At 36.8% G+C, this 14386-nt stretch overlaps 1 protein-coding gene across 7 annotated transcripts in view; it reads left to right on the forward strand.

Annotated features, from left to right (window-relative positions):
* Positions 1-14386, forward strand: part of FHIP1A (FHF complex subunit HOOK interacting protein 1A) — a 261328-nt gene that overhangs the window by 39075 nt on the left and 207867 nt on the right. For 4 of the 7 annotated variants that reach the window (XM_024454201.2, XM_047416127.1, NM_001109977.3 and 1 more), the window contains one exon: positions 6451-6558. The exons of the other annotated variants lie outside the window; for them this stretch is intronic. The gene's annotated coding sequence lies outside the window, so the exon portion shown is untranslated. The remainder of the gene's footprint in view (positions 1-6450; positions 6559-14386) is intronic. 7 annotated transcript variants of the gene reach the window in all.

Below are 14386 nucleotides of genomic sequence, written 5' to 3' on the forward strand. Positions count from 1 at the left end.
GTTATTTAAGCCACCCAGTCTATGTTTTTCTGTTATGGCAGCCTGGGAAACTAATATAATACATAACACAAATGAGCATTTTAACAGTTTTTAAGCATACAGTTCAGTCGCATAAAGTAGGTTCACATTGTTGTACAACCATTACCACCATCCATCTCCAGAAGTGTTTTCATCTTGCTAATCTGAAACTCTACCCATTAAACAGTAATTCCCCATTATCCCCCTTGGCCTCCAGCTCCTGGCAACCACAATTCTACTTCTCCATGAATTAGACTACTCTAGGTACCTCTAGACTAGAATCATACAGTATTTGTCCTTTTGTGACTGGCTTATTTCACTTAGCATAACATCCTCAAAGGTCATCCATGGTTTAACATGTGTCAGAATTTTCTTCCTTCTTGATGCTGAATACTCCAGTGTATGTGTATATTCCATATTTTGTTTATCATCTATCGATGGGCACTTGGGTTTCTTCTAGTTTTTTGGTGTTGTGAATGCTATGAACATGGGTGCACAAATATCTTTATGAGTCCCCACTTTCACTTCTTTTGGGTATGTATTTAATACCCAGGAGTTTAGAATTGCTGGATCATATGGAAGTTTTATCTTTAATTTTTTGAGGAACTGCCATACTGTTTTCCTTACCGGCTGTACTATTTTACATTCCTTTCAACAGTGCACAGGAGTTCCAGTTTCTTGGTTTTTTAGTTAGGTCTTTCTGGTTAGTCTGTCTCATGGTGCCCAATTATATTCTTTCATAACATTTACCACAGTTTCTAATGATACATTTTGTATGTTTTTAGTGTCTACCTTTTCAACTAGACTGTAAACTTGAGCAGGGATGATGATGGTTTTTTTAGTATCTCCATAGCATTCTAGTATGATGCCTGATACATAGTAAGCTCAAAAATAATGATTGCATAACTAACTGAATGAATGAATACATGATATGCTTATTTTGTGCCTGGTATAGTATTGAGCATATTTTATATGTTATTTTATTTTCACTACAATCCTTTGAGGCAGGCATTATTTGTAACCTCAGTTACACATGAGGAAACTGAGGTATGGAGAAGTGAAGTAGCTTGCTCAGAATTAAGCAAGTTAGTGAGTGTTGGAGGTGGCATCTTAAAATTAAAATTTTTTTTAATTGACACATTATAATTATACATATATATGGGGTACAACTTGATATTTCAATACATGTATACATTGTATAATGTTCAAATTAGGGTAGTTAGCATATTCATCACCTCATGCATTTATCATTTCTTTGTGGTGAGAACATTCAAAAACCTCTCTCCTAACTATTTTGTAATATGAAATACCTTACTGTTAACCATAGTCACCCCACTGTGCAATAGAACACAGAACTTATTCCTCCTGTCTAACTGTAACCTTTTTCCCCTCTACCAACTTTTCCCCATCCTCCCCTCTCCCATCCTTTCCCCAAGGAGGTGGCATCTTAATACTTGTCTGTCTATACAAAGTTTCTGCTTCTAATCATTCTTAACTCTAGAGGCAGCATGTGTCCTGGGGTGTGTTGGGATGGTGTTAAATAATGCCACAAACTCGTATTTTGCTTTTGATGAAATGTGAAATGACAGTCTGTGAAGGTTTACAATGTATTTTTTTTAAACTTGAGTTTTTCTGTGATGATTTTTTAAATAATAGATTTGCATGTTCCTTTTTTTCTCTGAGTTTAGAAATCTTAAGTTTTATCAGCCTTAAATATTGAGTACCTTGACATCTTTACTCAAAAATTCCCTCAAAATTAAAATTTTACAAATAAGATGTACTTTGATGGTGTTGACAGGGATTGTCATGAGCACACATTTCATAAAAGTTTAAAATGTTTAAGTTTGTTGACTGGTGATATGGAATCCAAGAAGTATTATTTGAAAAAACTTATTTTAATAAAAGCAATGCTTATACATTGCAAAAAGGTCAAACGTAAAGAAGTGTATAAAATAAAAAGTAAAACTGAAATGTCTAGCCTCAGCCTAATAGTTTTTTTATATATTCTTATTTATACTGTTTGATTTCACTCAAATAAGATCATACTGTAAAGCTGTTTCCATTTAATAATATCTTTTGGATATTTTTTCTTAGCACATATACACTATAGGCTAAGAAGTATAGACCATATACTTTTTAAGGGGTGAATTGTGTTCTAGTTTATGGATATACCGTTATTTATTTAATCTATCCTCTTCTAATGTAAATTTGGATTGTGTATTTGTTTATTTGACTTCTGTAAACCATGCTGCAGTGAACATTCTTGTCTGTATATCTTGGTATGCTTACACAACTGTATATATAGGGTAAATTACTATCAGTGATATTGCTGAGTAATACCACTGTTAGGCCAATACTCTGATAGGCCAATTTGCTCTCCAAAATTGTTGCAACAAATGTCTTTAAGATTTTTCTCTTTACGCACACCTTCAACAACTTTTAATATTTGTACATATGAATGACAAATGTTTCAGTGGTGTTTTGATCTTTGTTAATTTTCTTTCTTTATCTCGTCTTTTTTTTTTCTGAGACAGAGTTTCGCTCTGTCCCCCAGGCTGGAGTGCAGTGGTGTAATCTCAGCTCACTGCAACTTCTGACTCCCGGGTTCAAGTAATCCTTCCACCTCAGCCTCCCAAGTAGTTGGGATTACAAGTGTGTGCCACCATGCTTGGCTAATTTTTGTATTTTTAATAGAGATCGTGTTTCATCATGTTGGCTAGGCTGGTCTCTAACTCCTGGCCTCAAGTGATCCACCCTGCTAGGCCTCCCAGAGTGTTGGGATTACAGATGTGAGCCACTGCGCCTGGCCAATCTTCATTACTTTAAATTAAGAATGAGACTCAGTGTCTTTTTATATAACTATTGGCTGTTTGTCTTTCTTTTTCTGTATTTGTACCCTTTGCCTATAGTTTTTGGGGGTTTTCATCTTTTTCTTATTGATTTTTAAATGCTCTTTTTAGGTTAATAAAACTTTCATTATGTACTATAGATATTTTTCCCAGGTTACCTTTCAACTTTATTTATTTTTGCTTTACATTTTTACTTAGTCAAATGCATTAGCCTTTTATGGTTCCTGGTGATTGGATCATCTATGTTTTCTAATGTTTTTATAATTCCTTTTATTTTAACACTCAAATCTTGAGCAAGCAGGAGTTCATTTTGGTATAAGGAATGCTGAGACATTTTAAATACAGTTCTACATGAAAGATAGAATCTAATGAATTATCTGTGCTTCCTGGCCTTTGGGTCTTTGCTGTGCTATTCCTTCTTTCTAAAATGTTCTAGTTCCCCCATATCTTTGTGTATTGAACTATGAAAGCACACCAAGAACTACAGAAGTAGATGATAAGAGGTCAATTTCTTCCTACTGATCCTTTGACCAACCCACGGTTGAATGATTATTTTCTGAAATTAGCAGGGGACACATGAATTTAAAGCTCTATTTCCAGTAAATTTTTTTCAAATAGTATTTGATGACATTTTTATAATAAAGTGCTTTTTTTCAGTTGCATGTGTTTTTCTTTTTTCTTTTTCTTTCTTTTTTTTCTTTCTTTCTTTTTTTTTTTGAAACAGGGTTTTGCTCTATCTGTTGCCCAGGCTGAAGTGCCATGGCACTCTCACGGCTCATTACAGCCTTGACCTCCTGGGCCCAAGAGATCTTCCCATCTCAGCCTTCCAAGTAGCTGGGACCACACACACACCACCATGCTCAGCTAATTTTTAAAATTTTTTTGTAGGGATATGGTCTCCTTACGCTGCCTAGGTTGGTCTTAAACTCTGGAGCTCAAGCAATCCTCTTGCCTTGGCCTCCCAAAATGTTAGAATTACAGGCGTGAGCCACCACGCCTGGCTACAATTAGATGTATTTTTCAAGTTAAACCTCAACAAGGATTCTGTTATTAGTAAGCTTTGTGAAAATCAGTAGATTAGACTCATTAACATGGTTCTCAAAGGAGATTTTATCAAATGTAAAACTTGAAGATGTTACCTTCTGTCAATGCTCATTTGAAAAATGCTCTGGTTTTTAGTGCTCTGTATTCTGGCAGATAAAAATGTCCGTGCTTGGAAAATATGGACACCTTAGTGAAAGGAGATATGAACACTTTACCTCCAGAGTTTAATTAAGCATTTAGTTTTTTAAATGTAAATTTTTCTGGTTATAAAAGTGATACATCAGGCTGGCATGGTGGTTCACACCTGTAATTCCAGCACTTTGGGAGGCTGAGGTGGGCGGATCAGTTGAGGCCAAAAGTATGAGAGCAGCCTGGCCAAGATGGTGAAACCCTGTCTCTACTAAAATAAATTAATAAATAACCATATCTGTATCTGTCTATATATGTATATAGATGTATATATAAACTAGCTGGGTGTGGTGGCTCATGCCTGTAGTCCCAGCTACTTGGGAAAATGAGGCATGAGAATTGCTTGAACCCAGTAGGCAGAGGTTGCAGTGAGCAGAGATTGGCGCCACTGTACTCCAGCCTGGGTGACGGAATGAGACTCTGTCTCAAAAAAAAAAAAAGATACATTTATATTCTAGAACATCTTGGATATAGAGAAAGTATATATTAAACACTGTAATGCCATCATCTAGAGGTAGCCACCATTAAATTTTGGCATATTTATTTCTAGTATTTACCTTTTCCTATGTCTGCAGACATTGAAACGTATATATATATATATACATACACACACACACACACACACAAACATACATTGATATTTTATAAAATTAGGCCTATACTGGACATAGTTGTTTTTTTTTTGAGATGGAGTCTTGCTCTGTTGCCCAGGCTGGAGTACAGTGGCGTGATCTCGGCTCACTGCAACCTCCACCTCCTGGGTTCAAGCGATTCTCTTGTCTCAGCCTCCCGAGTAGCTGGATTACAGGCGCCTTCCACCATGTCTGGCTAATTTTTGTATTTTTAGTAGAGATAGTGTTTCACCATGTTGGCCAGGCTGATCTCAATCTCCTGACCTCAAGTGATCCGCCCGCCTTGGCCTCCCAAAATGCTGGGATTACAGGCATGAGCCACTGCACCTGGCCCATAGTTTTAATTTTTCATTTGCTATTATGATATAAGCATTTTTCCATACCATTAAATATTCTACAAGCTTTGCCACTTAGCTATGCAATCTTGGACAAGTCATTTAACCTCTCAGTGCCTTATTTTGTCATCTACAATAGGGATAATAATGGAGATAATGATAATATACTCACCGTACAAGTTTATTGTATGCATTAAATTCATGTAACACATACAACAAACTTATTAATGTGTGTAAAGTATTCAGAACAGGCATGAGATATTATAAATGCTGAGTTGATATTATTCTTATTCTAAAAACCTGATTTCGGATCACCTGAGGTCGGGAGTTCGAGACCAGCTCGACCAACATGGAGAAACCCTGTCTCTACTAAAAACACAAATGCGTGGTGGCGCATACCTGTAATCCCAGCTACTGGGGAGGCTGAGGCAGGAGAATCGCTTGAACTGGGAGGCGGAGGTGGCGGTTTTTGAACTGGGAGGCGGAGGTTGCGGTGAGCCGAGATAGCACCATTGCACTTTAGCCAGGGCAACAAGAGCGAAACTCCATCTCAAAAACAAAAACAAAAACAAAAACAAAACAAAACAAAAACACCAAAAACCACGATTTATAATTTTTCATAGTATTTCATCCTATGAATATATAATAATATATTTAGCCACTTCCTTATGGGACACTTTTTAAAAACCAAATATTCGTTATTACAGGTAATGCTGTGATGAATAAACATTTTTTACATAATTTTTTCCCATAGGAATGTACATAATATACATTTCCTAGAAGTGATATTACTGGGCATCACAGCTTTCAGGTATAATACAATGTCCTTTTGATTTTATTATGGAAAAGTGTTAAAATATGGGTTTTTAATTATCACTGGATTAAGACAGAGAGTTGATTCTTAAAGGGTTGTGATATGGCATTCATATACCTATTGATTTAGGCATATCACATTGGAGGCACATCAAGAGCCATTGGAGTTATTGGTGTGAAAGACAGGCAGCCATTTCTTTTCCTCCCTGTTTGGGCCAAAGACTGTTCCTATAGGTAACTTTGGGTCTGCTTGTATGACACAGAACAAGCTATGCCAAAATGCAGGCATTTTCCACTACAGAGACTCTGAAATAGCTCTTTTGCAGAACTAAAGAGGCTAGTAAGTTTGTTACCTTTTTCCCTCAATGTAAAATTTTTATATTCCTAAGTGTTTATAGCTGTGTTTGTTTAAAACACGCATGTCCCTAAAACTTCCAGTCCAATGAAGAAAACAGAGCAAGGTTGAGGCAAATTAGGCCTTAGAAATCCGAAGCAGAGATTATAGTAAAACACAAAAGGTCTGGGAAATGCACAGGTGTTTTTCTGAAGGACTTTTTTTTTTTTTTCCAGGTGATACACTTGGGTGTTGAAGGACATTTTTGAAATCATGAGAACTCAATGTTTGACTATGAATGTTTCGTTATAACTGCCTGGAAGGTTAGCGTCAAAGAAGTTGAGGTAGGAATATTTATAAATACGTTCCTTAACTTTTAGCTTGTGTGTGAAAATGGAAAAGATTATGTGGCTTAATGTTAATTTTCCTTGGCCCCTTATGTGGATTTCCCCATAACCTAGTTGCAATTCTTGGTGGCTTACGCTGGCAAAACAAAAATCATTCTTCACTGTGGTTTGGAACAGAGATACCAGATCTTATTGGGAGGGCAAATCCAGGAACCCTTCCCCACATTTTGCCATTCTGAACTCTGATTTGTATAGATGATGATTTGACTCTGAAGCTGCTTAGTTTAACAATTACAAGTTCACAATGTTAAGGACCAACAGTAGCATCATGAGGCTTAGTAAAATTAATTTTACACACACAACTTATATTTTTCTTCATGCAGTTTGTACACTTACTGGTTTGAAAATTCACAGAAAATATAATTAAAGCTATCAAAGCCAAAGAATATAAAGATGTTTCCTCTATTGTTAGCCAGTCTTCAGTGTCACTGTAATAATAGCACCTTGTGTAAGAACTCTAAAAACCTTGCCAATGCTTTATAGGCTTTGTAAACTGAGATAACCACTGCTGTCATTAAAGGAGGGCAGGTCATCCCTCAGCAGGGATCAGCTACTCCTGCCTCCTACTGTTTGCTGGTTTAATTCTCTTTGTAATAGTGAGGCTGGATTAGGAGTCTAGAGCTAGCACTGCATGCCTTTCCAAAGGAACCATGGAAGGACTAGGAGTCAATTTCATTACTTTCTTGAGGTGTGGCCCACCCCCCAGGTCTTTTCCTCATATTTTGGAAGTTCAGAGCCGGTTCAGGGAGATGCCACTTCTTCCTTCAGTGCTGTGGGTATTTTCTGAAAGCCTTCCATCAGTGGTCCTGATCTTGGTCAGTGGGACCACATTTCAGTCTTTGTTATTACACAGAATATAGCACTGCTTCTGAAGGCAAAGAGGCAGAGAGCTGGGTTTACTTTACTGTTAATTAATTGATTGATTAGTTGTTTCATTTATGTTTAACAAATAGATACCAGGAGTCTGCTGTTTGTTGAGAGCTACATTAAACTCTGTGGAAGTATATAAAACATATAAAACACAGTTCCTGTTGAAAGCAGTCTGGAATATTAGATGGAAGCACTGAGCCCTAGAGAACAGAATAGAAAAATTTAATATTTTCCTGTTCTAACTTTGCCCACACAGGTTTTCCATTAGTGATAAAAGGACATAACTGATAATTCAGAAACACATACCTTCTTAACATACATCATCTATGGAAAAAAAAGCTGTTAAGGCACCAAAAAAAACCCACTGTAGGACTGTAAAGATATTTACCTATTACAGAGATTTATTGACATGATAAAATTAAACAACCATAACTCTCTAATTTATTAGAAAATCTCCATCACCTTCTGTCATTCCCGAAAGTCTATCCATTGAAAAGGTTCTTTTTAAAATAACATCAGCTTTCAGTACTCTAAAATGAAAACAAATGGGCTTTTTTCAAGGTTTACAAAATTTTTTCAAAATAAATGCAAAGTAAAAGACAGGGCCAGCGGGTGGTGGAAAGGACTAAGGATTTCATTGTGTGGTACAGAGCTGGAGTGCTGTGGAACTCAAGTGAGGAGAGTTGGGCATTAAACCTCTCGGAAGATGAAATGAAGGGAAAGCAAATAAGGAAAATCAGGTAGAGAGCTACTTTCTGCACATTTACTTCTGACTCCTTATGGGACTTCTTAAGGGCACTTTGGAAATGTACCCTGATCCACCAATCATGGTTACATACAGTATTGTTAAAATATATAAACATTTAAAATCTCATAATGAAAGTATAACTTTTATAGAGCAGAAGACTTAGAAAACATACACATAACACACAAAAGAAAAATAAATCATCTATAATCTGGCCACTTAGAAATAACTATTGTTATGCCCTTACTTTTTTTTCAATGTAAATGATTTTGATTGCATTTACATTGGATTCCCAGAGCAGAGGGTAAACAGATTCCATAAAAATAATGAGTTGGATTCATATGAGATTGTTGTATTGGTTATTGTGACAATAATTTTGGCCCTGTCTACCTTTTACTTTGCAGTTATTTCAAAAAATTTTTGTATAGCTTGAAAAAAACCTATTTGTTTTTATTTTACAGTATTATTGTGATTATTTTAGAGTATTTGAAAGCTAATGACATTATTTTAAAGAGGATCTTTTCAATGGATAGACTTCTGGGAATGACAGAAGGAGATTTTCTAATAAATTAGAGAGTTATAGTTGTTTAGTTTTCTCATATCAATAAATCTCTGTAATAGGTAAATATGGTCTTGTAGTGGGGCTTTTTTGGTAATTTTAACAGTTTTTTTCCCCATAAATGATGTATGTTAAGAAGGTATGTGTTTCTGAATTATTAGTTATGTCCTTTTATCATTAATGGAAAACCTGTGTGGGCTAAGTAAGAATAGAAAAATATGAAATGTCAGACAACTTAAAGTTTCTGATATGTGTGAAGCTATTAGGTGAATTTAAGCCCTTGACCACTGACAGGTGCATTTGGAACAGGAAATTGCCTGAGCAGTGGCCTTCTGCATGTAGGGAAGAGCCCTGGCCCTGGAAGTGTGCTTTCTGAATCTGAAATTATTCTATTTGGTCTATCCGTGTTGTGCCCTACCAGGAAAGGGAGAGAGGGGTTTTGTGTTTTAGAAGAACCTCACAAATTCTCCATGTTCCAGAACTTATTACTGACTGTAAAACTGCAAAGTAGAGTTTATTCCTTTTCCCTCCACCTGTCACATATATGTCTTTTGACTGATTGAGAAATCTTAACCTTTTTGGAAATTAGTGGCTCCTTTCTGTGTTTTTAAAAAAGGTGTTTTTTAGTATACTGTCTGGCTGCCCTAGTTCTATAATGTCTTTGATTTAACTCCCCTTCCGCCCCTTTTTTAGGTATCTCTGAGACCTTTTTTGGAGGGGTGGGGATCACAAACTCAGAGGCCAGGCAGGTAGTATAATATGAATATAAGTTTCTAGGGAGGAATGGTAAGAACTATGACAGACTGGAAAATACTTCTATCTCCAAAGGTAATTAAAATAAAACAAAAACAGAAATATATTTTGATGGCCAAACAGGAAATCCAGATTTGGCTTGAAGCCTACCAGTTTATGGTCCCTGTAGTGATAATGGTAGTAGAGTAGTCATGTAATGATAATGATTGTAAAAAATAGCTAACATTTATTGAGCACTTACTATGTGCCAGGCACATGTGCTATCTTATTCTGTCTTCACAGTAAAGGTAAATGTTATTATTATCCCCACCTTAGAGATGAAACTGAGGCTTAGAGAGGTTCTTTGCCCATGTCGCAGAGGTCATAAGTAGCAGAGTGAAAGCCAGGTTTGTCTAACTCAGAATCATGAGCTCTGTGATGTGTTTTGCTTTTAGGCCACAGAACTTTGAATTGCACTTGGAAGAAAATAGTCAGTGGTTAAGCTACTCAGAGTGTTGGCACCAACCAGTTTTGTGGCCTTGGGGGAAGAAGCCAGGCCTGGAAAAAGGGGCAGTGTTCTTGGTCCTATAAGGAGGAGGAAACAGCCTAGCCAGGTCTGCTGTGGTGTGAACAGGCTCTAGGAAAGTCTTCACCAGGTACTTTGGGAAGTGATTTCTTTGGTAGAGGGTAAAGAAAGTAATAGTTCCTGTGAGGTGCAGAAGATGTGTGTGGGTTTGGGGGTGGGGGTGTCTGTGCAGCATATAGGAGGGGAAAATCAGACTAAATGGAAGTTTAGTAGGAGCTTTTAATGTAGGTTTTGGCAGATTTGAGTAAGGTCTACTGGAATATTTTGTACCCTGGCTGTCCTTAACTGTGTATTTGGGAATATCTAGAACTGTAGAATAAATAACTAAAATGTATGGGGTTGACATTTAATCCAGGGCTTCTTGTTGCAGTACACTTTAAAACTGAATGGGGTTTTAGTCTGGGCGCAAGGGACTGTCTTTTGTTTGGCTTATCTTAGTCGGCTCCTACTCACACACCACAGAGTCGCTTTTCTTGGGCATAGTGGATCTCTATCAGGATCACTGGCATTTCCTGTAATATTTAGCAGAAAAAGGGTCATAGAGAAAGTATCCTCACAAACTCTTGGTTATTGAACCAACCAGCACCACCAAAATATTTGCTGTTAACATAGCACCTTTAAACGAACAAGTGACTTGTTATACCTTGTAGTTCTCAAACCTTCTCTAAGTGACTTTAACACAAGGAAATGAAAAGTAAAGCCAATCTGTTCGTATGACCAGCTGCATGTGAACATAAACCCTGGGAAACACAGTGGCCTCTGTGAGAGGGCTGCTTGCATAAACCTCACAGAGCCCTAAAGAGAATTTTTTTTTAAAGTATATATATACACACACGTGCACAAAAAGTATTACCGGAGTATATCTTGACTTTTGTTCCTGAAAAAAAGTGAATATACTACAAAAATATATAAGAAGGTAAGATTGATTGATGGAGTTTACTTTCTGCTACCTAAAGACTTTTAAATAGATACTGAAGGATAAGGAAGCAAATTTAGTTTCAAGAAACCTAATACGTCTCAAAGTGAGTACGGGTGGGACCAAAAGTCCAGCAAGAGTGGGTCTAGGGAATCCCTTCTGTTAACTGTTTCATGGTTTAAAATGATCACTTTCCTAAAAGGAACAAGAAAAACTGGTCTAGTTTGTTTTCCAAGTTGGAAGTAAATACTTATGTAAGCAGCACCTGACTTTGCAGCGTTTCCATCTGTAATATCATTTAAGAATTTGGCCAGATCTCAAGTGATTTATGTTTAGCAAACGAGATTATCTTCAGCTTCCTATTGTGGAAGAGCAAATGGTTTGGGGTTTGGTTGCTGCTTTTCAGCCTCTTTTTAATTGCTTCTTCAAGGTAGTACTGCATTAATCTTTGTTATTTACCTTCAGTGTTGGTTTGCGACAGAAGCAAGAAACCAGAACAGTGGCTGAAGCTAGAATGGCTTTAAGTGTTAATACCCTTGTTGTAGAGCTACCAAAAACAACAACTATTTATTAAGGTTGACGGAGAGAGAGCAAGAATGAGAAAGACCTTTTGCATACACTTGGAATTCAGCTTTTTGTATATATATTTTTTATCATATGACAGATGCTCTTAATTTTATGGACAAATGAAATAAAGGGAATCTTTAGATTGCTATTTTGAATGCTTATGATTGTTTATGTTTTTAAGAGTTTAATTTTCTCCCAATATAGGAAAACATTTATTTTTGAATTTGTGGCTACATATTGAAAAATAACACTTCTTTTTGATATTTGAGGATACATTATTATGGTAATGTGAATACCAACATACTGTTTATTTAAAATGTGGGTAAATTTTTAATATGTTCTACATTTAAATCAGCTTTTAGAGGCCCTGCGTTAAAGGTCTTCCTGTTATTAGGTTTAAATTTGTGTGAGAGAGGTAAACATTTTAGCAAATAAGTGATCATTTTATTTCCCATGGCTGGACAAAAAAATGAATGAAGTGTTTCAGAGCACAACATTTGGGAAAACTATGTATTACATATTTCATATACCCTGCAGATAAAAATAGCTACTCACATCTAGTTAGTGTGTTTCTGCTGTTGTACCTACCACCACCACCACCTTTTCCTGAGTCTTAATTTGATGGTCTCTTCCTTAACTGCTGTCTTAATATTTTAAGTTTCATATCTTGCACACAGTGCAAACCAAGCAAAGATTAAGTGTATAGAGAGGGTCACTCTGTCTTTCAGATTGTATCAGCTATTTTGAGTCTAATTCTTAAACTGCTCCTGATACCTTGGCAGCAGGCCATGTAGTTGTCATATTGTCTCATTAGAGTTAAGTCTAGTCCTGTCAAGAACAGATTTACTAGTCTTTTTTAATTGCCTGCTTAAAATTTTTCATTTCCAAAATCAGCTGAAGAATTTAAGATCATGATAAGTATGGACCGAGGTCAGGTAAAAGTTCTGAGCAGATTAGGAATTCACTGAAGGAAGGAAATGAAGAGATGAAGGATTTTAAGGCTGTTGTGGAAGAGTGGAGGATTTCTGAAGCATTTGTGTTTAGGAAAATGAAATAGGGCTTAAATTGTGTGGTTGTATGGCAATGGATATGAAGTTTATTTGACTGGTATAAATTATTTTCTTTTGTGCCTTTTTGCATTTAAGTATGCCATCTATTCTTCTAGGGAACTAGAGGCTAAGCATGAGATAATTAGAAGGTTGAAGAAAACCAGATGAAGATAAGGTGGAATCTGGAGAGGACAAATAGGAAAGTGTGCCCAGCTAGCTGAAAATAATGATAGCATGTTGGAGAACAAACAAGGGTTAAGTGTGCAGCCTCCTCATGGGCAAAGCCAGCAGAACCTATGTTCTGCCATATAAAGGAAAGAGGACTGAAAAAAAGGGAGGTGAAGAGATGTTTAGGAAGAAGCAGGATGTTTTTTGAGAAAACTTGTTGGATGAAATAATACATACATGCATCTCTGGGAATAGGAGAGGGCCAGGTTTCCCAGCAAATGGTCAGGCTTATTTTGTTGATGCTGCCTACCTAAGTGTGAGGTGAGGTATGGTGGGCATGGCACTCATTCTCGTGACAATACCATGGTAGGATGATTATAGTTAATAATAAAATATAGTTTCAAATAGCTAGAAGGTAAATATTGAATGTTCCCAACACAAAGAAATGATAAATGTTTGAGACGATGAATATGCTAATTACACTGATCTGATCACTATACATTATATGTATCAAAACATCGCTAGGTACCCCATGGATATGTATAATTATCATATGCCAATTAAAAATAAAATTTTAAAATTTTAAAAATGGAAAAGAATGTAGGGGCTATATTAGCCTCCAGGGAAATGTGGAGCCACGGCAGTTATGTGTGACATTGAAGGAAGTGGAAGACTGTAGCAGTTGGGACTGTGTAAGTGATTGGATAGCCTAATCGAGTCAGATCAGGGTAACCTAACAGGCTCATTTCTTTTTCTTGAATTATCCCTGACCTGAAGGACTTTGGGCATGGGATCGACTCTGTAATATATTGAGGGTAGGTCAGGCACAGTGGCTTACGCCTGTAATCCCACACTTTTGGAGGCTGAGGTGGGAGGATTGTTTGAGGCCAGAAGTTCGAGACCAGTCTGGGCAACAAGGGAGACTCTGTCCCTACAGAATATTAAAAAATTAGCCAGGCATGGTGGTGCATGCCTATAGTCCCAGCTACTTGGGAGGCTGAGTTGGTAGGACCCCTTGAGCTGAGAAGTTGAGGTTGCCGTGAGCTGTGATCATACCACTGTACTCCAGCCTGGGCAACAGAGTGAGACCCTGTCTCTAAAAAATAAAGTAAAATAAATGTATTTTGAGGGTAAGGCTGACCATATTCTAATATGTATCATTAAGGTCCTTATTTTGCTCCCTCTAAGCCTCTTCCTGAGATGCACCATGGGTTCACATTGTTCCCTGACAGGACCCAGTGTGCTGGGGGTGTACTTCATGTTCCGTATCTTTCTTGGTTTTCTTTCTACATGCCAATACTTACCTGTTCACTGTCTGAACAGTTTCTTCAGATAGTTTCACTAGATTCTTCAGATAACTGGAGCTAATTGGTAAAATCATTCATTCTCTTGTGTAGGGTTAATTTATAACCCTTTCTGTGTTATATATTTACATTCAAAAGAAGGATTCATAGTATGTTACATAACTCAAAGAAATGGTGGAATTTTTGGCATGCCTTTGAGTAAATATTAAGATGATGATATTACAGAGGAGTCATATATGCATATTTCACTCATGGGAATTCAACTAATG

Source organism: Homo sapiens, chromosome 4 (genome assembly GCF_000001405.40).
Source record: "Homo sapiens chromosome 4, GRCh38.p14 Primary Assembly".
NCBI lineage: Eukaryota > Metazoa > Chordata > Mammalia > Primates > Hominidae > Homo > Homo sapiens.